At 47.0% G+C, this 26,092-nt stretch overlaps 1 protein-coding gene across 3 annotated transcripts in view, besides 1 other annotated feature; it reads left to right on the top strand.

Annotated features, from left to right (window-relative positions):
- XYLT1 (xylosyltransferase 1) overlaps nucleotides 1–26,092 on the top strand; it is a 369,192-nt gene that overhangs the window by 52,598 nt on the left and 290,502 nt on the right. The window lies entirely within an intron of this gene.
- Nucleotides 12,204–13,403: an enhancer, noted in NCBI's record as "CDK7 strongly-dependent group 2 enhancer chr16:17498817-17500016 (GRCh37/hg19 assembly coordinates)". NCBI's record gives its function as "activates an origin of replication core promoter dependent on BRD2, BRD4, P300/CBP, MED14 and CDK7 cofactors, with strong dependence on CDK7, by STARR-seq in HCT116 cells {active_cell/tissue: HCT116}" and the evidence as "EXISTENCE:reporter gene assay evidence [ECO:0000049][PMID:35650434]".

Here is a 26,092-nt window from a genome sequence, read left to right as displayed (position 1 = left end):
CTTGGAGTTATATAAACGGGTATAAATCCAGCCTCCACCTTAATCTTTTCACACACTACATTCTTTGTCTAATCCATAAATAATATATTTATTAAGCATCTAGTCCTAGCTGCTGCCTAAGGTGTGTACAAGCTGAACAACTGTTCATTATGCTGGATCTTACAGGGTTCTGATCATCTACTGCTGTGTAACAAATAGTTCTCTAACGTAATGACTAAAACAGTGCTTTAGTATCATCTCTCAAGGTTTTGTGGGCTGACTAGACGTGGCTGGATGGTTCTTTCTTGGATTTCTGCATATGTTACTGACACATATGGAGTGGGCTGTGATCATCTGAAGGTTTGGCTGTGGTGGTTGCTCAAGGTGTCTCATGCACGTGCCTGGCAGTTGGTGAGGGTTGTTGGGGGGAGCTCAGCTGGAGCTGTTGGCTGCATCAGACATGGTCTATCCTGTGTGTCTTGGGCTTCTTGCCACATGGTGGCTGGGTTCCAAGAGGGAGTTTCCCCAGAGTAAATATTCTAAGAGGTCCAGCAGGAGCTGCAAAGGTATGTATGTTATCATTGAGGCTTAGAATTCCCAGAACATCACTTTCACTGCATTCAATTGGTCAGCTGAGTCAGTAAGGCCATCTTGGCTTCAAGAGGAGGGGAATAAGACACTACCTTTCGATAAAGGCATGTCAAAGAATTTGAAGCCATCTTGAATCTGACGCATATGCCTACGGTGGTGAACTAGCACACGCCGGCTTCTTTGTTAAATTGTAACTTTGAAGAGTCCTGATGCAGAAGCAGCAGTCTTGATGCTAAGAGAGCTTTTGTTAGAGTAGTTTGGCCTGGAAAAAGCCCAGAGGAGGCTCTGGGAGATGAGCAAGCAGGAATGGGAAGGTTAAGTCGCGTTAACCAGGTGAAGAAGGGAGGTCAGAGTAATCCAGGCACAGGAAACAACCTGTGCCAAGGTCCTGGGGCAGGACTGCAAAAGGATCCAGACTAGACTAGAGCTGAGAGAATGAGGGAATTGTGATGGAAACTAAGGGTTAGTAGCCAAATAATGAAGACCAGATTTCCCAAGCTTCTAAACTTCATTTTTCTCCCATGTAAAATAGGATAATATTTACTATACGAGGCTGTTGTGAGGATAAATTAAGAGAGTCAGTAGAGCCTTGCACAGTGATGTTTTCTTTTCTCCTGGAAATGACTGTGAGTCAATGGAAAAAGCATACCACCTGACTTCTTTTTGGTGTCCCTATCTTACTCATGACCTCCTTCCTCCAGGGTCAAAACTGAGCTTACAAAGTTACGCCTTCAAACTTGCAAGCTATCCATAAAGTCTTACCAAACTGTTAAGTGTAGTCCTGGGAATTGTGAAGGGTCCAAAATGGATCTAAACCATTGCCTGGTTATTATTTGATTATTAAAGCAACACCAGCCACCTCGTTAGCACTTGTGGGTACTCTAGCAGCACCAAGGTTAAACGTCTCTGCTGGCTGTCCGTGCTCATTTGCATGGCTTCCTCCTCTCCCCCACATCTCCGATAGTTAATGCACATGCTCACTCTCACTTCCTTGTTCAAAGAGATGTTTCACCACGGTGCAGATGCTTGCCCCTGGCAACCCCTGGTGGAGGCAGCCGCTGAGAATTCCGTAAATCTGTCCTGCTCTCCCGCAGAACTGAGAATCTAAATTCTAGCATTCCAGGAGCTGGGGAGGGTAAAGGCTGTTGACATTGACATGCCAGCAGGAGCCGCAGCTCCTCCAGGGTCATTTTGAAAGCCAGAGTCTGCCGATGTGCGTGGCAGCCTCCTAGCTGCACAGGCTGATTGTGATAGGGATGTGCCCACTGGACCCCACAGTCCCCTCCTTTCTCAGTCCCTCCCAGGTACCCTCTGTGCTTTCGCATCTCAGGCCCCGTGTGAGGAACCAGGACACATGGCCTTTCATGGGGAGCTCGCAGTCTGCTGAGCTAGGGAGTTTATACTTTTCCCCAAATAATTCCCCCAAATGAGTGGGGCCCATCCTCTCCACTAATGAGGTCGTGGCAAGGCCAGTTTCTGTTCCATAAGCACAGGCTTCTTTTTGTCCCTGAAATAGCATCGCCGTGGAGTCTCACAGTTTATCCCGGAAGGGATGTGGGGTGCATTATCTGGCAATGTCTGGAGACATTTTTGGTTGGCAGGACAGGGCGGGAGCTGTATAGGCATTTAGTGGGTACAGACCAGGGGTGCCACTAAACATCTTATTCTACAGAGTGCAGGACAGCGCCACAGCAAACAGTGATCCAACCCAAATTGTCGGGAGGGCCGAGCTTGGTAGGACCTCTGCTCTCCTCTCATTGCCTGCTTTTCTCTTGTCACTGTGTCACTGCCATACTGACTTTCTGGTAGTTCCTCAAACATATCCAGTCCTGTCCCATTTGGGGACCTTCATGCTTGCTGTTCCTTCCAGAATGTTCTTCCCCATAGAAGCTGTCTGTGATTCTTGATCCATGATCAGGGATCCATTTGATTCCATGATTACACCCTTTATTCAACACTTCCCGTGTGTCTGACACACTGCATGCACAGCAAATGGAATCTCGTATTCCTGCTCACCACAGCAGCTTCTCCTTTTCCTCCATAGCTCTCATCCCCATCTGAACTCTCCATTTATTTCTGTGGGTTTTTTTTTCCTTTTTTTGAGACAGAGTCTCACTCTGTAGCCCAAGCTGGAGTGCAATGGTGCTATCTCAGCTCACTGCAACCTCTGCCTCCCGGACTCAAGCGGTTCTCCTGCCACAGCCTCCTGAGTAGCTGGGACTACAGTCACGTGCCACCACACCCAGCTAATTTTTTGTATTTTTTAGTGGAGATGGGGTTTCACCATGTTGCCCAGGGTGGTCTTGAACTCCTGAGCTTAGGCAATCCGCCCGCCTCGGCCTCCCAAAGTGGTGGGATTACAGGCGTGAGCCACCGCGCCCGGCCTCCATTTATTTCTGAGATTACCCCTCAATGACCTCTTTCCTGCTGCCTGTAGGATTCATAAAGACTCGGATTCCAGCAGTGTTGCTCACTGCTGTGTTCTCAACTCCTGCACCAGCTCTTCGCATACAGTAGGCACTCAATATATATGTGTTGCAGTGGAGGGGAGGGGATCAGAAATGGGGGAGATTGAAAGTAGGGAGAGGAGAGGAGAGTTTTTGGAGTCAGAAATCCTGGCTGCACGCACCAATTCCAGCTTTGTGTTTTGGGGGAAACCTGCTTAACCTCTCTGAACCTCAGTTTTCCCTTCTGCAAAATGGGAATGAACATCATTCCGCCCCTGTGAGGGTGGTTTTTGGTGTTTATACCCCAGGCTGTGGGTGCTGTGTGTCAGACACGCGGGAAGTGCTGAATAAAGGGTGTGATCGTTTTTCTCTGCGGGGGGTCTGCAGTTCTGATTCCCTTGGAGAAGGCAGAGTGAGGAATCATCGCAGTTACCGTCCACACAGTGCTCACCACATGCCGGCCCCGTTGGGTATTCATGCGCTTTAATCTCACAGCATCTTGTGTTGTCCTGGTCCCCGTTCCATAACTGAGCAAACGGCAGTTGAGGGTGGTGAGGGGCTGCGCTGGTACACACAGTGAGGAGGTGGTGGCAGGGGTGACCTTCAAGCAAACCCAGGCTGCCTGGCTCCATAGCCTTAACCAGGACACTCGCCACTCCTCTAAGATTTGTTTTTCATCTCCCTTTGCAGAAATGCCCTTTTGCTCATTTCTCATTATGTGTGTCAGGGCTTCCTGTGGGTGCCCAGTGGAGTGTGGGAGGAAGCGGAGAAAGCAAGGCGCTTACAAGGAGACTCATCCACGGGTCCGTCTCGTTTTGTGCCTGGGTCTTAATTTATAAAGATGTCTGATAGCCAGGCATAGTGGTGTGCACCTGTGGTCCCAGCCACTCCAGAGGCTAAAGCTGGAGGATTGCTTGAGCCCAGGAGGTCGAGACTGTAGTGAGCTATGATTGTGCCACTGTACTCTGGCCTGGGTGATAGAGCAAGACCCTGTCTCTAAAAAATAAATACAAATAAATGAAGCCCACCAAATAAATGAATAAGTAAATAAAGGTGTCTGGGTGACAACACAGCGAGGTCAAATAAATAGAAATAAAGCCCACCAAATAAATAAATAGAGATGTCTGGGTGACATCACAGTGAGGTCAATGCCCTTGAAAGTTTAGTGTGACTCAGTTTCCCTAGAAAGAAGAGGCACAGCATGCTTGCAGGGCCACAGCAGGAGGCCCTGGTTTTTTGGTTTGGAGGCAGAAGACAGGAGTAAGGAGAAAATCTAGGCCAGAACCTTTACTGGGGTTCCCACAGGAAAGGTGAGGCAAGGCAGGGCAAACAGTTTGGGATTGACCGGCTTGAATAATTTCAGGAGGGCTTTGGGCTCTAGAGGGGTCTCTAGCTGCCTGCTACCTGGCCCCAGGTTGGTTTAGGGCGGGGGAAAATTGGCTTGGTGTGTGAGAGTTAGATATGGTGATGGCTGAGGGGGTATAGACTCTGGGTTTGTTGGTTTGCATGTGAGAGGCTTGCTCCTGGTTGAGCCCTTTGCTATCTCTAAGAACGGGCTAGAACTGGGAGGGGATGTCTTTACCCAGGTCTATAAAACCCCTAATGCTAGAGCATCTACAATACAGAAAATCTGTCATCTCAGCACTTTGGGAGGCTAAGGCAGGTGGATGGCTTAAGCCCAGGAGTTCAAGACCGGCCTGAGCAACATGGCGAAACCCCATCTCTACAAAAAATACAAAAATTAGCCAGGCATGGTGGTGAGCACCTGTAGTCCCAGGTACTCCGAACACTGAGGTTGATTGAACCCAAGAGGTTGAGGCTGCAGTGAGCTGAGATTGCACCACGCACCACTGCATTCTAGCCTGGGTGACAGAGTGAGACCCTGTCTCAAAAAAAAAAAAAAATGATGACAAAAAATAAGAAAGTGTAGTTGAACTAATTAGCCATGTGATGAATGGATGGCAAATAGACAAATGCATTATCTATGAAAACACACAGAACACCCCCTTCCTTGCTCATGTGTGGGTACCCAGCATGACTGCTTAGAGTCCTTGAAGGGTGTGAAGCCAGCCCAGTGTCCCCTCAGTGCACAGTGTGTGGCATTGATGCATGCCTGTATACCATCATCAGATATGTTACTTCTTTTTTGAGTACCAGGTCCCGGGGGCACAAATAGGATGACTGTGGCCATACCTCTCTTTGGGCTGTATTCACTGACTGCCTACTGCGTGTCAGGCACCAGCCTGGGCACTGAGCATACAATGGTGAGAAATTAGACATAGTTTTTGACCTCATCCAGCTTGTGGTCTGGACTAGTCTTGAGGAAAAGGTGGGGAGTGTGGCTATATGTATTATCTCTCCAGACACACTTGGCCTATATTGGTCGCAGAAGTCAGAGGCTCAGCAGATACGAGCATTGTGAACATGGGCTGGACTGCAAATCAGGTTCAGGATTTGACCAGTTACACATTCTTCTGACTCTCCCCAGGAGTGCTGCCATTAGGAAAACATCTCGGAAAGGAATTAAGCACTCTAACTGTAGATACACCCTTATTGAAGTATTCCTTGTTTGGGAAAGTAAATCTCTGTTAGGTCTCCTTGGGACTCAGTCAGTTGGGCTGCCTTCCAAGATGGTGGATGGTGATCCACTGGGAGACCTAGTATAAGAAACTGTCCTGTTTCCACTGGGAAATCAGGAAAAGAACTTTGATGTCTTAGAATCTTTAGAGCCTCTTTACCTCTTTTCTTCCCCACCCCCACACCCCCAAATGCTTCAAAGTAAGACTATTTCCCCTCCCCCCACCCAATCCTTGGTGTTTGGTTTGAATTTGGTTACCACGGTATTTAATCTGTTTACACGAGTTTTATTTTGGCCTCTAACTACAGAATGAAGAATGTGGTAGAGTCTAGGCTGAGTTAAGCCCAGAATTCTGGAATCCTTGGTATGTGTGTGGGGTTTGTGTGTGTTTGTGTACGTGTGTGTGCGCCAGGACCCCCTCACGTGGACCTGGTGCTGTGTGCCAGGTTCTGCCCTGTATACCTCTGCACCCCCAGGAGTGCTATTCACCTAGTTTCTCGTGTGAATCATGCACATGGACCTGGGCTGCACGGTGGCTGTGAGAACAAACTGCACCTCACCAGGATCTTCAACCCCAGGAGCTGTGCGGAGCGTTTTTGGGGGCCATTTTGGGGCTCAGAGAAGGAGTTGTAGGTATACTTCTTACACATGCCCTTCAAATCAAGTTGATATGAGGTTCTGGACACTCGCTAATTAAAACATGAATATTGCAATGTGGAAGATCTTGTTCCCCCTTTTATGCCCCCTCTTGCCCCACCAAGAAGTTTAAATGGGCTTTCTGAAAATGTGCCCAGAGAAAGACAACATCCTTTTCACCTTAGGCCTCCGGGCCACCTAGTGATGGGCAGCCGGATTGTGAGTCAGCAGTAGAATTTGAGAGTTAGCAGCTGAATTAACTGTGTCCATCAGTCAGTAAGGTAACTCTGTTGCTCATCAGAGGCCTTCAGGGCACCGGAGTTTCTTCTTGGACAGTTTCCGGAGCCCCTGACTGTGGTTTAAAACCAGGTAGGCATCTGGTCATTCTCCCACGATGAAGGTGAAGCCGAATGTACCACAACTGCTCTTGTTGAACTACAACTATTAAGAGATCAGAGGTCCCAGAAAAGTCACCCTCTTGATCAGTGACCCCCAAACTCAGAGGCAACCAAGGGGTGTTTTCAGCTGCTGTTTGGAAGTGATTGTTCTCAATTCATTGTTATGAGGCCCCATTGTCACAGCCAAAAGACTTCTTCAAAAAATAATAAACTGCCTATTCGTTGGGAGAAATGACAGAGAATACCGTCTAAGCAATTTTTTTTAGTGACTGGGCATTTTTTTAGCAGCCCAAGGTGATAGTAGCAGCATTCCTTGTAGAATGACACAATACAATGAAATTTAGATATAATTAATTAATTAGGGAGCAAATTGTATTAAGTAGGTAGCTCTTTGCTTTAATGGCAGCTTATGAAGAAACTACCACCATGAAGGGGGTTATAATGTTATTTTAGCTTTTATTATCAACATCAACAATAGCAACTGATACTTTTGTACAAACTCATATTACAAGTACTATGTTCAGTCCTTGGTTTAAATTGACTTCTGTAAGTTTCACAACTGGCCCATGAGGTGGGTGCTGTTATGAATAATATTCTCAGATGGGAGTTGAATAATTTGCCCAAGGTCTTCCAGCAAGTAAGGGCTGGGGAGCAGGGTTCAGACCCAGGCAGGCAGGTTCGAGGGCCCCGGTTCTTTACTGCTGGATGTGTTAACACACCTGTTTATTAGACCATTGACAGCAATCTGTAAAATATGCAAGAAGCCTGGTGCTAATGAAAGTAATGGCAGGCTGCTGGGCATGGTGGCTCACGCCTGTAATCCCAGCACTTTGGGAGGCTGAGGTGGACAGATGGCTTGAGGTCAAGAGTTTGAGACCAGCCTGGCCAACGTGGTGAAACCCTGTCTCTACTAAAAATACAAAATTAGCCGGGCATGCTGATATACGCCTGCCATCCAAACTATTCAGGAGGCTGAGGCAGGATAATCGCTTGAACCTAGGAGGCAGAGGTTGCAGTGAGCCAAGATCACACCACTCCAGCTTGGGCCGCAGAGTGAGATTCCATCTCAAAAAAAAAAAAAAAAAAAAGTAATGACAGGTGATATGGTTTGGCTGTGTCCCCACCCAGATCTCATCTTGAATTGTAACTCCCACAATTCCCATATGTCGTGGGAGGAACCCAGTGGGAGGTGATTTAATCATGGGGGTGAGTCTTTCCTGCGCTGTTCTCGTGATAGTGAATGAGTCTCATGAGATCTGATGGTTTTGAAAAGGGAAATTTCCCGCACAAGCTCTCTCTTCCCTTGTCTGCTGCCATGTGAGATGTGCTTTTCATCTTCTGCCATGGTTGTGAGGCCTCTCCAGCCACATGGAACTGTGAGACCAATAAACCTCTTTTTGTAAATTGCCCAGTCTCGGATGTGTCTTTATCAGCAACGTGAAAACAAACTATTACAACAGGCAGTGGAGAATCAAAGCTTAATGTACCCGCTTTTCTCTCTATGCACTTATGGCTCTAATACACCTTTTGTATCAATACTTTTGGATTTCCTGAAAGAGCAAGTTATGTGGGGAAACTAGCCTGGTACAGAATCCATTCTGGCAAAAGGGGCAGCCAGCAGCGGTCAAGGATTTGGGTCTGTGCCTGGTGGTGGCAGTGTGAACTCATTAGCAGCAGGGACAGGGTCTGTGCTGGTCAGTGTCCGTGTGGTTGGGACATGATCACCCACAGCAGAGCCTCCACATTTGGCTTTGGTTGTCCAAGCATCCTATACATCATCTTGCATTATTCAGGACATTCTTTTTATGCCTGAACTGGGCAGCATGGAGTCTTTTGTTTGCAACCATAAAACTCGGTCATACACACACCCTAAAAATGTGTCTCAGCTGGGTGTGGTGGCTGACACCTGTAATCCCAGCACTTTGGGAGGGCAAGGCAGGTGGATCACTTGAGGTCAGGAGTTCGAGACCAGCATGGCCAACATGGTGAAACCCCATCTCTACTAAACATACAAAAATTAGTCGGACGTGGTGGCGGGCACCTGTACTCCCAGCTACTCGGGAGGTTGAAGCAGGAGAACCACATGAACCCGATAGGCAGAGGTTGCAGTGAGCCGAGATCACGTCACTGCACTCCAGCCTTGGCAACAGAGTGAGACTCCATCTAAAAAAAAAAAAAAAAAAAAAAGTGTCTCAATACTTCAAAACCAACTTGGGTAATGTTAATGGACTTTCTTTCTCAAATGTGTGGCCACCCCCATCTTTTCTCCTGGCAAAAGGAACTAGGAAGATCGCTGTGGTTCAAGATCAATATTATGCACATCATTGCTGAAATATGCACATCATTGCTGATTGGCTTATGCATGAGGAGCCTGGAGGAACTGTCGAGAAATAGCAGGTCCAAGCTGCTAGGACTTTTGTGTTCTTGGGTCTAATGTGTTTATTTCAGTTCCTCCTTGCCTTCAAACTGCCGGCCTCTCTCAAATCCCTTCTTATTTTCTGCTTTCCAGTAAACTTCAAAATAGAACTGAATTGCAAGTTGGAGCTTGACCTGTTACTCTTTCTAGCGTCGAAGGAGGAGGTTCTGGTACACTTTGGCAGCTTCCTGCTCCTTCTGTTCACTTTTAGAAGGTGGTGGCTCTGAAAAAGGTCTTTGTAATTTGCATCTTTTTTCCCCTGACTAAGGCCTTCTTCGGTTTTGACACGTGTCATTATGGGCACATTGTTTGGACCAGTTTCTAGAGCCTCATTTGGGTTCTCAACGCTGTCTAAATCTGGCCTTTGCGCTCAGAACAGACCTGGGAATGTCACACAAAGTCCTTCTGATGCCACCCCCACCAATATCTAACACTCGTTACTCTTTTTTTTTGTTTTGTTTTGTTTTTTGAGATGGAGTTTCACTCTTGTTGCCCGGGCTGGAGTGTAATGGTGCGATCTCTTGGGTCACCGCAACCTCAGCCTTCTGGGTTCAAGCGATTCTCCTGCCTCAGCCTCCTGAGTAGTTGGGATTATAGGCCTGTGCCAGCACGCCCAGCTAATTTTTGTATTTTTATTACAGATGGGGTTTCTCCATGTTGGTCAGGCTGGTCTCAAACTCCTGACTTCAGGTGATCCGCCGGCCCTGGCCTCCAAAAGTGCTGGGATTATCGGCCTAAGCCACCATCCCCGGCCTATTCTTTTAGCACCTAGAAGCACATCAACCAAGGATATTGTGGTGCTAGGCAACGAGGCTTGAATACACTGGAGGAATTTTTCCAGTTTGAAGCTGGAACTAGTTAGGAAATTTAGGAGTGAGCAATTGTTAAGTATCCAAGCACAAAACTCAGGAGTGAGTCTGAGCCATGAGAAAGCTGATACTGACTTTAGAAGATCAATATTGTGATATTCCCAGGGCTTTGCCTCTTAGATTTCATGAGAATTTATAATATGTTCACACTCAATGATTGCTTACCAAGCGTATGTCACTGCACTTACTTAGCATGCACTTTGAAAAGCAAAACATCATTTATTCCTTAAAAAGAACTCGGTGTTGTACCCATTTTCCAGGGCAGGTGATTGAGGCTCTGAGAGGCTATCATCGTATATTTTGTATTACTATAAAGGAATATCTGATGCTGGGTAGTTTATAAAGAAAGAAAGTTTATTTGGTTTGTGATTCTGATGGCTGGTAAGTTCAAGATTAGGCATCTGCATCTGGCGAGGGCCTCCGACAGCTTCACTCACAGTGGAAGGTGAAGGGGAGTTGGCATGTGCAGATATTACAGGTAAGCAAGAAAGCAAGAGAGAGGGAGGGGAAGGCCAGACTGTTTGTAAACATCCAGCTCTTGCAGAACTAATAGAAGGAGGGTATTGATCTATTCATGAGGGATCCACCCTCAAAACCCAAACACCTCCCATTAGACCCCACCTCCAACACTGGGGATCAAATTTCAACATGCGGTTTGGAGGGGACACACATCTAAGCCATAGCAGAGGCCAAGTTACTTGCTCAGGGGCACATAGCCAGAAGGTAGAAGGCCCTGGGTTAGAATGCAGACCTGCCTGAATCCCAAGGCCATACTCTTCCTTGAACACCATGCAGTGGTTATTTTAGTAGGGGTCACACAGATGGGTGGGGAGCAGGCAGAGAAATAAACAAAGAGACTGAGTGCTGCTGTCTCATGCCTATAATCCCAGCACATGGGAGGCTGAGCAGGAGGATCAGTTGAGCCCAGGAACGCATGTCCATACTGGGCAACATAGCAAGACCCCATCTCTATAAAATATATAGAGGATTTATAATGTGTCCACATTTAGTGATTGCTAACCAAGCGTATGTCACTGGGCTTAGCAGGCACTTTGAAAAGCAAAATATCTCTTATTCCTTAAAAATAACGCTGTGTTATACCCCTTATATATATACACATATATATAAATTTTTAAAATAAGAATAAATAGGCTGGACGCAGTGGCTCCTGCCTGTAATCCTAGCACTTTGGGAGGCCGAGGCAGGCAGATCACCTGAGGCCAGGAGTTCAAGACTGCTGGCCAACATGGCGAAACCCCATCTCTCCTAAAAATATAAAAACTAGCTGGGGTGGTGGCAGGGGTCTATAATCCCAGCTACTTGGGAGGCTGAGGCAGGAGAATCGCTTGAACTCCGGAGGCAGAGGTTGCAGTGAGCCGAGATTGCGTCACTGCATTCCAGCCTGGGTGACAGAGCAAGACTCTGTCTCAAAAAAATTAAATTAAAAAATAAAAATAAAGAAGCAGCAAAAGGTTTCAAATTAAAAGGGTGACTTTCGAAAGACCATATGACCCTGTGGGAAGAGACATACTATGTTCTTATGTTTTATTTTTCTGTTGCATACCACACCCAACCCAGGGCCTCATATATTCCAAGCACATAGAATAATTTGTTGAAGGAACATTGAGTGAACAAGGAAAAGAAATGGCCATTTCTTCTTTTGTTTTTTCTTTTGAATTAACCCTTTAGCTGTTCAGCATCTTCCTCCTTGTTTAAATGGGCGTTGTGGTCCCTTTTGACCCCCAGCTTCTGAGGCCTGCTGGGGAAGGTTGGCGTGAACACAGCTTCTCTTCCCCAGGGCCTCCTGGTCTCCACTTGTCTTCCCATCTGCTTTCCAGATGATCAAATGACTCATCAGCTCCCTGCAGCCTTCCCAAACCTGCTTTTTGTCTTCTCCGCTCTCTTTCCCAATTTCTTAGGCAGGACTCCTCTGGCTGTGAGTGACGGAAACCAACTTAGTCTAGTTTAGGCCCCATGGGGGAGCTTACTGGATCCCAGATGGTGATTCACAGGAACCCTGGGAGAGACCTCACTGGAGCACAGAGAGGGGAAGCAGTGTGCTCTAAGTCACACAGCTGTTCATTATGGGGAGGGTTGGGAGAGCTTGAGAATTTTGAGAACAAGCTACATGCAGGTGGTGACTATTTATTTGACTAATGTACTCCCAGTGCCTAAAACAATAACACTCATCATATAGTAGGTGCTCAGTAATATTTGTTGAATGAGCATGTGAATGCATGAATAGTGGAGTCTCTTATTTTTATAAAATAGAGTCTCACTCTGTTGCCCAGGCTAGGCTGCAGTGGTGCAATCTCAGCCCATTGCAGCCTCCACCTCCCAGGTTCAAGCGATTCTCCTGCCTCAGCCTTCCAAATAGCTGGGATTACAGGCATGCACCACCACGCCTGGCTAATTTTTGTATTTTTAGTAGAAGTGGGGTTTCTCCATGTTGGCCAGGCTGGTCTCAAACTCCCGACCTCAAGTGATCCACCCACCTCAGCCTCCCAAAGTGCTGGGATTTCAGGCGTGAGTCACCAGTCTCAGCTGAATAGTGAAATCTTAAAGTTTTCATCCCCCCTCTGTATGGATAGGAAGTAACTGAGGGCAGGGAGGGGAAATGGAGGAATTCTTTACATCACTGTGCCCTTCTTTTCACTCTCATCATGCATCAGGGGCCCCAGGGCCTGGCTTCTGCTAGCTTCAACCCTGGGTTCTCGTCCTACCTTGAGGTTGTCTCAGCCTCTGCAGGTGACAGAGAGCCTGCCTGCCCCAGCCTCAGCCTGGACATCTCCCAGCTCACGAGGGCACCACAGTGAATGGGCGTCATTCAGTTCTTGCATCAGACTGGCTCGGCTGACCACAGCAAGCTACGGCCCCCGAGGAAGATGCCAGGAGCTGGGTTTGCTGCCAAGGGCTCCCTGCTGCTGTCCCTGTGATTTCAACTCCCCAGGGCTCCCAGTGGGTGAGAACAAGGGCTGGCTGTGGCAGAGTTCTCGTCTTTGGGTGGGGTGTGTGGCGAATGGAAAGTCAGCCGCTCCGGCCTCGTGGCTTGGCTGCTGCGAGCACGGATGCTTTATAAAGTGACTTTTCAAGGCCTTCTCCCTCCACTGGGCCTTGGCAGCCACGCTGTTTCTCCAGAACTGAGCCGGCCTTGTGTCTGTTGGGAAGAAAGACATGAAAATGAGGGCTGGAGCGGACGCAGGGCCCCGATTCCAGGAGAAACAGGGCATCATGTTGTGCTGCTGCCTGGGGCAGAGCTGACAAGCGCCACATTCATTCCTCAGCAGGAGTTGGCTCCCTTTGTGGTATCAAATGCCCCCTCTGCACAGCCGCGACATTGATCAGCAACATCAGCTGTGTAGAGAGGTGGCGCGGGGTGGCGAGGCCGTTTGATTAACCAGGGGCCCTCTAAATGCTGTTTTTCTAATCTGAGTCATCCCTCCAGAAAGTTATGTGCTTGTGTGTGGCAATATTACAAGTGTATGTTGTATTCTGTGTGGAGGGCACCTCTCAGAGGTGTGCAAAGAGGCAGCCCTTATTTGGAGAAGAGGGGCAGATGCGCGTGGTTGCAGCTCTCTGCACACGTTTATGCCTGTATTTCTATCCCTATGCTATGTTTGCATGCCTTTTGTGAATGTACACAACTCTGAATGTTTTTCTTTTTAAATTTTTATTTTTTAGAGACAGGGTCTCAATATATGCCCAAACTGGTCTTGAACTGCTGACCTCAAGTCGTCCTCCCGCCTCAGCCTCCCGAGTTGTTGGAATTACAGGCAACTGCCCCTGTGCCTGGCCAACTCTGACTGTTACTTGTGCATCTGTTGTTGCATGCATGAGTGGGTGCGTGTCTTCCTAAGACAGAGAGGCTTCCTGGATTCGAAACATGGCTTTGCTTCCTATGCACCATGTGATGAATTCCCATCAGCCTTGGTTTTCTCACCTGTATAATGGGGATGATCATGGTTCTCACCTCACAGGAGAGTCTTGGAGGTTAAATGGGGCAACATCTGGCTCCAGGTCAGTTGTTGACGTGTGTCAGTTACTGTGGCTGTTACGGTTTTGACTTTGCAGGCTTGCTAGTATGTCTGTGTGACCTGCTCCACGCCCTCATCCTCAGCTGTAGCAGGAATTGTGTTGGTGTTTTCTCTTGCTTTCTGAACAAAGGATCCAGTGCTCTGAGTTCTGAGGAGGAAAAGGGACAGGATCTGAGACTCTTTTGGTTTCATCAGGGGCTGCTCAGCTCGCTGTGTCCCACCTGGATGGGGGAGGAGTATCCGACCCTTCCTGGGCCCTGAGTCCCTCCTGGGTCACTCAGGCTTGTCACACCTCCTCCCTGAGCCCCCCCCCCAACCACACATAGACACACACACATACAGTTATGCACATTGAATCTGTCTGACGTTGCTGCGGTTTCCCAGGAGGGGTTTAAATAATTCTCTGTGGCTGTGGTCTGAACTGCACAGAGAGAATCTCGTTGTCTCTAACCTGCTAGTGGATGGCTCCCACCTGGCCTGACCTCTGGCTCCAAAGGGCAAGTCCAGCGTTTCAAGCTGCTCTTCTAGCCCTTATGAACCTGAGGTCTTGGAGGACGGCTCTCAATGGAGAATTGTGTCTGGAGAAGAGACAAGGGTGAGGTATTCCCAGATGGGCTTTGAGGAAAGGGCCTTTTGCCTCTCCTGCTGTGAACAGCTTTCATGGCTCTTCTTCTGCAGTAGAGTAGTGATACAGTTTGGCTATGTTCACACCCAAGTCTCTTCTTGAATTGTAGCTGCCATGATTCCCCCACGTGTTGTGGGAGGGACCCGGTGGGAGGTTATTGAATCATGGGGGCAGGTCTTTCTGGTGCTGTTTTTGTGATAGTGAGTGACTCTCATGAGATCTGATAGTTTTATAAAGGGGAGTTTCCCTACACAAGCTCTCTCATTCTCTCTTGTTTGTTGCCATGTAAGACGTGACTTTCACCTTCTGCCGTGATTGTGAGGCCTCGCCAGCCACCTGGAACTGTGAGTCCATTAAACCTTTTTTTCTTGATAAATTACCCAGTCTCTGGTATGTCTTTATCAGCAGCGTGAAAACAGACTAATCCAGGTGTTAAAATCGCCGGCCCTGGCAGAAGATTTGTAGGTTCAAAGCCAGGTTTTGCCGCTTACTGGTTGTATGACTTGGGCAAGACGCCTGCCCTTTGTGAGTGTGTCTCCTCATCTGTCAAATGGCTATAGCTGCATCCAAGGCTGGATATGAGGATTAAAGGGAGGTATTCCCATAAAATCCATAGAGTGATCCCTGGCCTGCAGGAAGCATTGGTAAGTGTTAGCTGTGGCTGGCTTATTACCATCAGTTACTTGTTTGTCTCTGTGTATCGTCTTCATATTTGAGGTCCTCACTCTGGAAGCTGGGATGATGGTCATTCCGCACAGGCCTTTGATGTCATAAGCACCTGGTGAATATTTTGTGATTCATTTATCTATTAATTCATCAGAAAATAGGGTATATCCATCCTGGGCAACAGAGTGAGACCCTGTCTCTACAAAAAATTTTTAAAATAGCCAAGTGTGGTGGAAGTTGCCTGTAGTTCCAGCTTTCCAGGAAGCTGAAGCAGGATTGCTTGAGCCCAGGAGGTTGAGGTTTCAGTGAGCTGTGATCATGCCACTGCACTCCAGCCTGGGTGATAGAGTAAGACCCTATCTCTTAAAAAAAAAAAAAAAGAAAAGAAAAAAAAGGATATAGTAAAACAAACACCCATGTATGTAGAATAAGACAAGCTCAATATCAAGAGAGCTTAATGATGGGCATTTTCACCTTCCATTTAGGTGTTTGCCATGGAGACAAGAGAGAGAGCTTCTTTTTGTCCATGTCTTAAAGGAGGAACTGTATGCTCCAACAGCCCCCAAATAAACCCCTCATAGGTTTGAATCCTATTTTTTCCACAAGCAGTTTATTTTGTATTTTCTCATGTTGTAAACTATCTTTTAAAAAACATTATCCATAACCCACCATTCCAACCCAACTGCAATTTTCACATCTTCAGTTTCTTTCTGTATTTATACCCATTGTTTTAAACTGTGTACACTTCGTCTTTTTCATATTCACTTAATAGTGCTTTGTAAACCCTTTTTTTTTTGTTTTTGTTTTTGAGACAAGGTCTCCGTTGCCCAGGCTGGAGTACAGTGGGGCAATGACGGCTCACTGCAGCCTTGACCTCACCGGCTCAAGGGACCCTTGTGCCTCAGTCTCCTGGTTGGCTGGGACTACAGGTGTGCACCACCATGCCTGGCTAACTTTTTGTGTGTGTGTGTGTGTGTTTTTTTTTTTTGTAGAAACAGGGCTTTGCTATGTTGTCCAGGCTGGTCTCCAACTCCTGGGCTCAAGCTATTCACCTGCCTCAGCCTCCCGAAGTGTTGGGATTACAGGCGTGAGCCACCACGCTCAGCCTAGAAACACTTTTAAAGCTTTTCTGTCATCTCTCTGCTGATCCTGCTAATTAGCGCATAATTCACCACTGCGTTGATGCACCTTATTTAATGTCACCATTGCTCAATTGTTGAACATTTAGATTTTTGTTGATATTCTAAATAAATAATGTTGTAAATATCTTTGGGCCTATGGCTTTTATTTTATTTTCTAATTATTTCTGTAATAATTTTTTAAGCAGGAGCTGACTGGCCAAGAAACATTCCATAAATGTTTAGTGCTCCTAAATGTTGTGGAAGTTGATATAATAATAATAATAATAATAATAATAACCATAGCCACTAACCCTTCATTGAACAACTAGGCCAGGCATTATCTGAGTGCTTAGCATACATTTTAAAATTTACCCCTCCCAGCTCCTTGAGGTGGGGATGATGTTATTCCCATTTTACAGATATAGGAACAGAGACAAAGAGAGGTTAAATTACCTGCCCGGGAACATAGAAAAGGATGTTGAAGAAGCCATCCCTTTCCTCAAAAAACTCAGTTGCAGAACACTACACATAGTTACATCGGTAAGCTCAAAGTTGCCCTGGCCAGTTCTTGTGCCATTTCCACAACTTCAGCTTGCAAATGCTAAATATGTGCCCATAAGTATATCTCTCTGTATAAATTTAGGCAGAGATTGAACTTGCAGGAAGTCCGTCTGGCTTTTCTGGAAGACTCTCCCACCCCGGGTGGCTCCATTCCCAGCAACCTCAAGGCAGAATGGTGGAAGTTTTGGAAATTGATCTGAAGTCCGTTTCCCTTGCTTCCTCGTCCCTTTTCCTTTGTAACATCCTCCAGCCCAAGGGCCCAGTGTCCCTATGTGCTATCATCTCCCTTGCAAGCTTTCCAGCCATGATCTCTGAAAAAACTCATCCACACTGAGCTGGGGCTGATTGGAATTCATTCCAGGGAGAGTTGCATTTTGTCAAACACTAATGTTAAAGAATTGACTCTGAAGAATAGATTGTAGACAGGTGTGTGTGTGTGTGTGTGTGTGTGTGTGTATGAAAGAGAGAGTGAGACAGAGAGACAGAGGAGAGAGAGCTGGATTATGTCATCCCCCTGGCTGTTACTTCTGTTTTTCTTCCCCTTTTTTCCTCTTCCCAGTATAGGGTTACTACTTTCCCAATATAGGGTTGATTCCCGTTTGTCCTTCAAACTTCAGATCAGGTGTCCCCTCCTCCGGCTGGCCTTCCTCGCTCTAACTCCACACCTTGTTTCTTTCACTCGTGGCTTTCATTACAAGCTGACTTTGAAGGTTGATGGGTTGATTCATTGCCTGTGTCTCCTCCTAAACTGCAAGTTAGTTAGTTCCTTCCTTCCTTCCTTCCTTCCTTCCTTCCTTCCTTCCTTCCTTCCTCCCTTCCTCCCTCCCTCCCTCCCTCTCTTTCTTTTTTTTTGAGATGGAGTCTCTTTCTGTCACCCAGGCTGGAGTGTGATGGCATGATCTCAGCTCACTGTAACCTCCGCCTCCCAGGTTCAAGTGATTCTCATGCCTCAGCCTCCTAAGTAGCTGGGATTACAGGCGCGTGCCACCACTCCCAGCTAATTTTTGTATTTTTAGTAGAGACAGGGTTTTACCATGTTGGCTAGCTGGTCTCAAACTCCTGACCTCAAATAATCTGCCCACCTTGGCCTCCCAAAGTGCTGGGATTACAGGTGTGAGCCATGGCGCCCAGCCCCTAAACTGCAAGTTCTTTGGGGACAGTAGGTACTATAATTTGTGTTAGTCACTGAGGTACCTAGAATCTAGCATAGTGCCAGGCACAGGGTCAGCTGCACCCACTGTTTGTTGATTGAATGCTTGATGTGTCTCCCAGCATTCCTTTCACTGTCAGCCCCTGTCCTTCCTGTCTACCTGGCCGAAGACTGAGAAAGCTGCTGTTGCCAGGAGAGAGTTTGAAGCTGTGATTTCCTTGTTGCCAAATAAATGAGAAGCCTGGTGAGGGCCAGTTAGCCTGATGGCTGCTGTTGGAGAAGAAGTCCGCTGGCTGGATCCTTAGCGATTGTGTTGAAAACACAGCCACTCTATTTTGTTTTCCTTTCCCAAAGAAATATTTGCTTTATCTCTGGCAGTGTGTACTTTATTATAACAGAGCTGGAGGATGTTGACCTGAGAAGTAAAAAAACATGGTTTCCAAAGAGACTCTGTCAATGGCTTAAAATTAATAAACGTGCAGCTGTGGGTGGTGGTGGGGGCTGGAGTTGGGGGCGAGGGCCGGAGGACAGGGGTGCAGAAGTGATTAAACTGCTCCTGTTTTGCCATGGGGATGACACCGCTTTTCTTTTAGTGGCAGGTTAAGGGGATGAAAATCTGAATTGGCGTATCTTTAAACAAGTTATTACTTCAGCTGTGAGATAATTTGTTGAGAAAATGCCATTATTTTTCCAATATAGGTCCTTCGGACTGTGCAACCGGGGCATGATGCTGGCAGCTGCGGTTGCATGTAGATGCTAAAGCATCATGGAGCGGGAGAATGAACTTCAGGTTAAAGCCTGTTTATTCTTAAATAAATTGAGTTTTCTGTTTTCCACAGTGTAATGAGGAGGGAGCAGGGCTTCCCTCCTGCTCTCAGTGCTGGAGGCCTGGAGTTGTCCACACCCCTTCCCTTGATGCTTAGGATCCTTCCAACAGCACCAGAACCTCTGGGGACTCTCATTCTGCCCAGAAAGGCCAGGGAGAACCCAGGTCTTTACCCTTTGTGGGGAGGAGCCTCGAGGATGGCCTTGAGCATCTCAGCCTCCGTTGCCATGCTTCCCAGTGACTTTGAGGATGTCATCTGTTATGGGTTGAATTATGTCCCCTCTCCTGCCCCCAGATTCATATGTTGAAGTCCCGATTTCCAGTACATTGGAAGTTGACCTTGTTTGGAAAGACGGTCATTGCAGATGTAATTTGCAAAGATGCAGTCATACTAGAAGCGGGGGGGTCCCTAAGCTAATATGACTGGTGTCCTTATAAAAAGGGGGCATTTTAATTAGCCAGGTGTGGCGGCATGCACCTGTAATCCCAGCTACTCAGGAGGCTGAGGCAGGAGAATCACCTGAACCTGGGAGGTAGAGGTTGCAATGAGCCGAGATCGAGCCACTGCACTCCAGCCTGGGTGACAGAGCAAGACTCTGCCAAAAACAAAACAAAACAAAACAAAACAAAAAAACAGTGGGGGGGGGCGGGGACATTTGGACATAGCCATGCACACAGGGAGGACACTTTGTGAAGGCGAAGGCAGAGAGGGGCATGATGTATCTACAAGCGAAGGAACATTCAAGATTCCCAGCAGACCACCAGAAGCCAGGAGAGGGGCATGGAACATTCTTTCTCACAGGCTTCAAAAGGAACCAACCCTACCAACACCTTGATCTTAGATTTCTAGGCTCCAGAAATGGGAGGCAATACATTTTGATTGTTTAAGCCATTTAGTGGTGCTTTGTTATGGCAGCTGGCAAGAAACGAATACATCATCCAAGGGCCATGGTTCACCCATCATCTACTCCCCGAAAAAAATCACTCATACTCACTTAAATCCACGTCTCCACCTGTGCCCTGAGTAAGTCCTTAAATCTGCCATGTAGGCCACCGAAGTTTCAGCTGTCTCTGCCCTTTAGTCTTGCAGAAACACAGTCGGTCTTACGTTGTTACTTTACAGGTAACACCCTCCCTGTGACATTCTAAGCCCCAGATGGGGAGCTGGGCCTCTTTCTTTGTCTTGATTCCAGCAGGCACTTAAGCAGTGCTTGTTGGATTCAGTAGATTTGCCCACTCTGACTCCTGAGATAGACTAGATGCACTTCTAGTCCTTATCTTTCTGGAGTTTTAGCCTCTTGCCTTGTCAGTCCTTTGGTGACCATATGCCACTCAATATTTACGTGGCCTCCGTGGATCCAAGGTCTGCATTTTCCAATCTGGACTCGTATATGTGAAAGAGCTGTTCACGAGATCAGCAGTTTGAGCCAGCCTGACCAACACGGTGAAACCCCGTCTCTACTAATAATACAAAAATTAGCCGGGAATGGTGGTGCATGCCTGTAATCCCAGCTACTCAGGAGGCTGAGGCAGGAGAATCGCTTGAACCCGGGAGGCAGAGGTTGCAGTGAGCCGAGATCGCACCACTGCACTCCAGCCTGGGCAATACACTGTCTCAAAAAAAAAAAAAAAAAAAAAGAGCTATTCAAACTATGGAGTGCCCTAGTAAAATCGTAGCAATGACTCATTCCGCTGTTTGTATGTCTGAAGAGGGACAGTGAGCTAGACTCAAAGGCTCAGGTTCCGGTCCAGCTTTATCATTCACCAGATGGCTATCCCTAGGAAAGTCACTTGACCTCTCTGAACTTTAGTTTTCTCAGCTTGCCTTGTCTGCCTGGGTTGGCAGGGAACCAAGAATATGTGTGAGAGGCCTTTGATAGCATCAGAGCAGAGGCTGTAGACATAGAGTAAAGGGGGGAATGAAAAGGTTCTCATGGTGATCTGGAGAACAGGTACCCCAGCAAAAGGGGTCTCCATGGGAAGGGTGGGCCCAGGGTTGCCAGATCGTCAGAGTTTTTAATAGAAGCCGGAAAGGCGGTTTATTATGATGTATCCCAGCCATCCAATGTTGTCTCGGGTGTTTTTTAAGCACCACAGGTTCATATCAAATTAGATTGCAGACTGTTTCTGGGCCCATGAGCCACCGTTCTGTGATGCCTGCTGTAGGATTTGATTCAGATAGAGGTCGATGGCAATGCTTATTTCCTTTCTGTTACCCGAACCTGCCGATCCAAGCATCCTCCTCAATAACTCTGAAATGCAAGAGTCAATATTAACCAAGGAAAATTTACGTTGTCACCCTCCAGGAAGCCTTCCCTGATCACATCCCTCCTGAATTGAATTGGATCAGAGGTTGGCCAGCCTTTTCTTAAAGGAGCAGATAAGAGGTATTTTAGATGTTGAGGGCCCTTCAGTCTCCTTGGCAACTACTGAACTGTGCCTCTGCAGCCGGAAAGCAGCCAGAGATAACATGTAAACAAATGAACGTGGCTGTGTGCCAATAAAATTTTATTTGCGAAAATAGGCCACGAGCTGAATCTGGCTATGGTATGGGATGGTAATCATTTCCTGATACTCTAGTTAGATACTTTTTTTTCTGAGGTGGAGTCCCACTCTGCCCAGGCCAGAGTACAGTGGCCTGATCTTGGCTCACTGCAACCTGCACCTCCTGGGTTCAAGCCATTCTCCTGCCTCAGATTCCCGAGTAGCTGGGATTACAGGTACCTGCCACCACGCCCGGCTAATTTTTTGTATTTGTAGTAGAGATAGGGTTTCACTGTTTGGCCAGGCTGGTCTCAAACTCCTGACCTCAAGTGATCTGCCTGCCTCGGCCTCCCAAAGTGTTGGGATTATAGGCGTGAGCCACCGCGCCCAGCCTAGATAGCTTTTTTATGTACTACCCTAACACCCTGAATTTAGCCCCTTATCAGCAGTCTACTACCACAACTAAGAATAAACACATTTATTGAGCACTTACTGTGTGCCAGGAGCTGTTCCAACCCCTTCATTTATCTTTACTCATTTCTCACAGTGAGTTTGTGTGGAAGGTCCTGCTGCTATCCCCATTTCACAGATGAGAAGACTGAATCACAGAAAGGTTAAGCAACATGCCCAAGGTCACCCAGCTGAGCTTTCAGACTCAGAAGCAAATAACGCTTTGCTTCTATGGCTCACCCAGCAGGTATTTCACGTCATCTCTGTATTTCCTTGATGCCCAGCACAGGGACTGGCTGTAAGGTTGTGCCCAGGAGTCACTGCATGAGTGACAGGCATTATTTCCGGTTTTGCAAACCTGTACAGGAGGGGTGTAGATACAAACGTTGCATTGTAACCCTTTCTAAATAGACTCAGAGAGTCTGCCTGGGACAAACTTTCCCAAGCCAGACGCCTTTGTTTTTCATGCGTCGAGAATTTGGCAGCTCTGGCTTGGACTTGCACAGGGCTACTTTTAAACATCTGGTTCTCTTAGCAGCCCTAAAATCCAACAGCACCCATAACAACTTTCATCTCTCTGCCGTGGCGCCTTGTGAAACATCACAGCCCCCCTTGGCTGATTGTAGGAATGGTGAACAGAGTCTGCTGTTCACCAACCAACAGATGAGAGTGACAGAGAGGACACTACATCTGAGTCCTTCCCCGAAGGGTCCCTGAAGAATTCCATGTCAATATGGTAAATTGATTCCGATTTGAAAAGCCCTTCACAGATTTCACTGTATTTAAAGGAGTCCCCGATGAGAATCCTTTATATTGTGAATGATCTCCTGGTAATTGATCTGCTTTAGAAGTTTGGCTTCAGTTTAACAGGGGCACCTGTGTTGTTCTGTACTTCTGTGAGCAGAGCTCAAAGTATTATAATGAGCAAGAATAATTATTATGATTATTTATAGGGAGTCATTGTGATGTGCCAGGCACTTGTGACATATGCTTTGTTTTATGTGATTATTTTTATTTTTTTAGAGATAAGGTTTCGCTGTGCTGCCCAGGCTGGAGTGCAGTGGTGCGATCATGGCTCACTGCAGCCTTGAATTCTTAGGCTCAAGTAATCTTTCTGCCTCAGCCTCCCAAGTAGCTGGGACTACAGGAATGCACCACCCTTCCATTTTTTAATATTTAAGAGATTGGTGTGGGTGGGGGTTGATATGATTTGGCTCTGTGTCCCCATCCAGCTCTCATCTCGAATTGTAATCTCCATGTGCCAAAGGAGGGACTTGGTGGGAGGTGATTGGATGAGGGGGGAGGTTTTCCCCATGCTGTTCTCATGATAGTGAGTGAGTTCTCATGAGATCTGATGCTTTAAAAGTGTTTGGCAGTTCCCCCTTCACTCTCATTCTCTCCTGCTGCCGTATAAGATGTGCCTTGCCCCTCTTCCTCTTCTGCCACGATTGTAAGTTTCCTGAGGCCTCCCCAGCCCATGTGGAACTGTGAGTGAGTTAAACCTCTTTTCTTTATAAATTACCCAGCCTCAGGTAGTTCTTGATAGCAGTGTGAAAATGGACTAATACAGGGGGGATGGGCAGGGATCTCACTCTCTTGCTCAGGCTGGTGTTGAACTCCTGTCCTCAAGCGATCTTCCTGCCTTGGCCTCCCAAAGTGTTGAGATTACAGGCATGAGCTACCATGCCCAGCCCAACAAATGCTTTATATACTCTGTTTCATTTGTCCTTTTCAACTCCTCTAAGGGGTAGGTGCTGACCTTTTGCCTATAGGTAAACTGAGTCATAGAGAAGTTAAATTGTGTGCCCAAGGTCACATAGCTGGTCAGTAGCACTGCTGGGATTCAAACCCAGGCGGTCTAGCTCCAGGGCCAGAGCTCTTCCCACCCTCCTCTGTTGTTTTCTCTAAGCGTGGTGGCTTTATTTATCTCCAGAAATGCTGTCCTCCTCCATGGTCTGACATGGAAGCTCAGGTGCTTCTTGCACAGTGGGTAAAGTTGTGCTGTATGTCAGTGAGGATGGACTGCTGCCTCCAGGGCACTCTGCCCAGATGCTCCCTATTGGAATCACTGGGCCATATCAGCTTCTCTGAGAGAGCAGAATGAAAAAGCTGGCAGGGTTGGACTTGGTGGATCGTGTGGAGACCACCGCTGCCTCCCATGGAGAAGATACCTCCATGAAGGCAGAGTAGAAATCTGTTCTCCGTGAACTGCAACGGTGATCGCTGCTGTGGTGGGTGACATGAGCCACCCCTGTACCGTCCAGTGAGGTGGCCAGCAGCCACATGGGGCTATATCAGGAGCCCTGGAAATGTGGCTAGAGCAGTGAGAAATTGAAGTTTTACTTTTATTTCATTTTCATTAATTTAAAACCTGATACCTGATTCAGTTATTAAATATATTTGGAACTACTTGGGTCTGAGAATTTACTTCATTTGACATTTAAAAAAAAATCAATTGGCCGGGCGTGGTGGCTCATGCCTGTAATGCCAGCACTTTGGGAGGCCGAGGTGGGTGGATCATGAGGTCAGGAGATCGAGACCATCCTGGCTAACACGGTGAAACTCCGTCTCTACTAAAAATAGAAAAAATTAGCCAGGTGCGGTGGCGGGCGCCTGTAGTCCGAGCTACTCGGGAGGCTGAGGCAGGAGAATGGTGTGAACCCAGGAGGCGGAGCTTGCAGTGAGCCAAGATGGCGCCACTGCACTCTAGCCTGGGCGACAGAGCAAGGCTCCATCTCAAAAAATAATAATAATAATAATAATAATTAATTAATTAATTCTTTTGAGATGGGGTCTCCCTATGTTTCCCAGGCTGGTCTTGAACTCCTGGGCTTAAACAGTCCTCCCACCTTAGCCTCCAAAAGCACTAGGGTTACAGATGTGAGCCACCACACCCAGACTCATATGACATTTTTCCGAACTCTAAAGATGTAGCATGTATTGCTGGTGAACATTTAGCATCTACATTGAGATATGACAGCATGATCTCATCAGTGGGAGTGGGAGCTAAATATGTGTACACACAGGCATTGAGTGTGGAATGAGATAGATACTAGAGACTGTGAAGAGTGGGAGGGTGGTTGGGGGGGATGATGAGAATTACTTCATGGGTATAATGTACACCGTTTGGATGATGGTATACACTAAAAGCCCACACTTCACCACTCCACAGTTTATCCATGTAACAGAATTGCTCCTGCACCCCTTACATTTATAGAAATAAAAAATAAACACATTGAGGTATGCCGTCATGTAAAATACACACCATCACCTTCAGATCCACCTGCTCACATCATGTGCTACAGTTGTGGTTTCTTCTGCAAACCAAAGTGTCTGCCACAGGCCTCAATCAGTTTAGAGGTTTCTTTTGCCAAGGTTGAGGACATCCCCAGGAAAAAGGGATGAAAGTCGCTGGAGGATCTGGCCTGTGCTTTTTCCAAAGAGGGCTTTGAGGACTCTGTATTTAAAGGGGAAAAAGTGGGCAGGAGGGGAAGGAGGAAGGAAAGAAAAGAGGGAAGGTAGGGAGTGAGGTGAGAGGTCACATTCTTATGAGGCTTTAATTAACTCTTACCGAACCCACATCTTGCATTTGAAAGGAGGGGGTAGGGGAACAGTCACTTATATATTTGTCTCAAGCTCAGTAAATCTGTATTTTACATGGGATAAAGTAAACATAAAGTGGAGGGAAACGTCAAATATACATTTGTCTTAGGGTGGGCAGTGGGGGATGATTTCTAGTCTTGTCTTTGTCCCATACCTCTGAAGATAAGCTGTTAATTTACATTGTCAAGGCGAGGGAGGCCACCTGGAGAGATATGTGGCCTTCTGTCTTGCAGCTGTCTGTTTAGGAACAAAGGGAAAGGCAGTGTTTTGCATGACTCAGTTTCCAAGCATAACTCTCCCATTTGGCATAGTGAATTTGGGGTCCTGAGAGAGAAGGGGTTTCCTTTCTCCTTCCGATGGTCGTTTATTCATTCAATAAATATTTTTTAGGAGTATCAGCTAGTGTGCACGATGAGGATGCAGCAGTGAATAACACACAGAGATCAAACAGACCAAAAAAAGTAGAACCTGTTAACATGGCAAATATTATACATGGGATTAAAATAGGAGGATGTGTTGAAGAGGGTGGTCCCAAGAGAGCCCTGAGGGAGGTGACATTTGGCCCTAGACCTCAACGACCAGGAAGCCATGTGAAAACTTGGATGAAAAACCTCCCAGGCAGAGGGAAATGGCCTTGAGGCGGCAGAGAGAATGGAAT

Source organism: Homo sapiens, chromosome 16 (genome assembly GCF_000001405.40).
Source record: "Homo sapiens chromosome 16, GRCh38.p14 Primary Assembly".
Classification (NCBI taxonomy): domain Eukaryota; kingdom Metazoa; phylum Chordata; class Mammalia; order Primates; family Hominidae; genus Homo; species Homo sapiens.
This window is presented reverse-complemented; position numbering and strand designations above follow the sequence as displayed.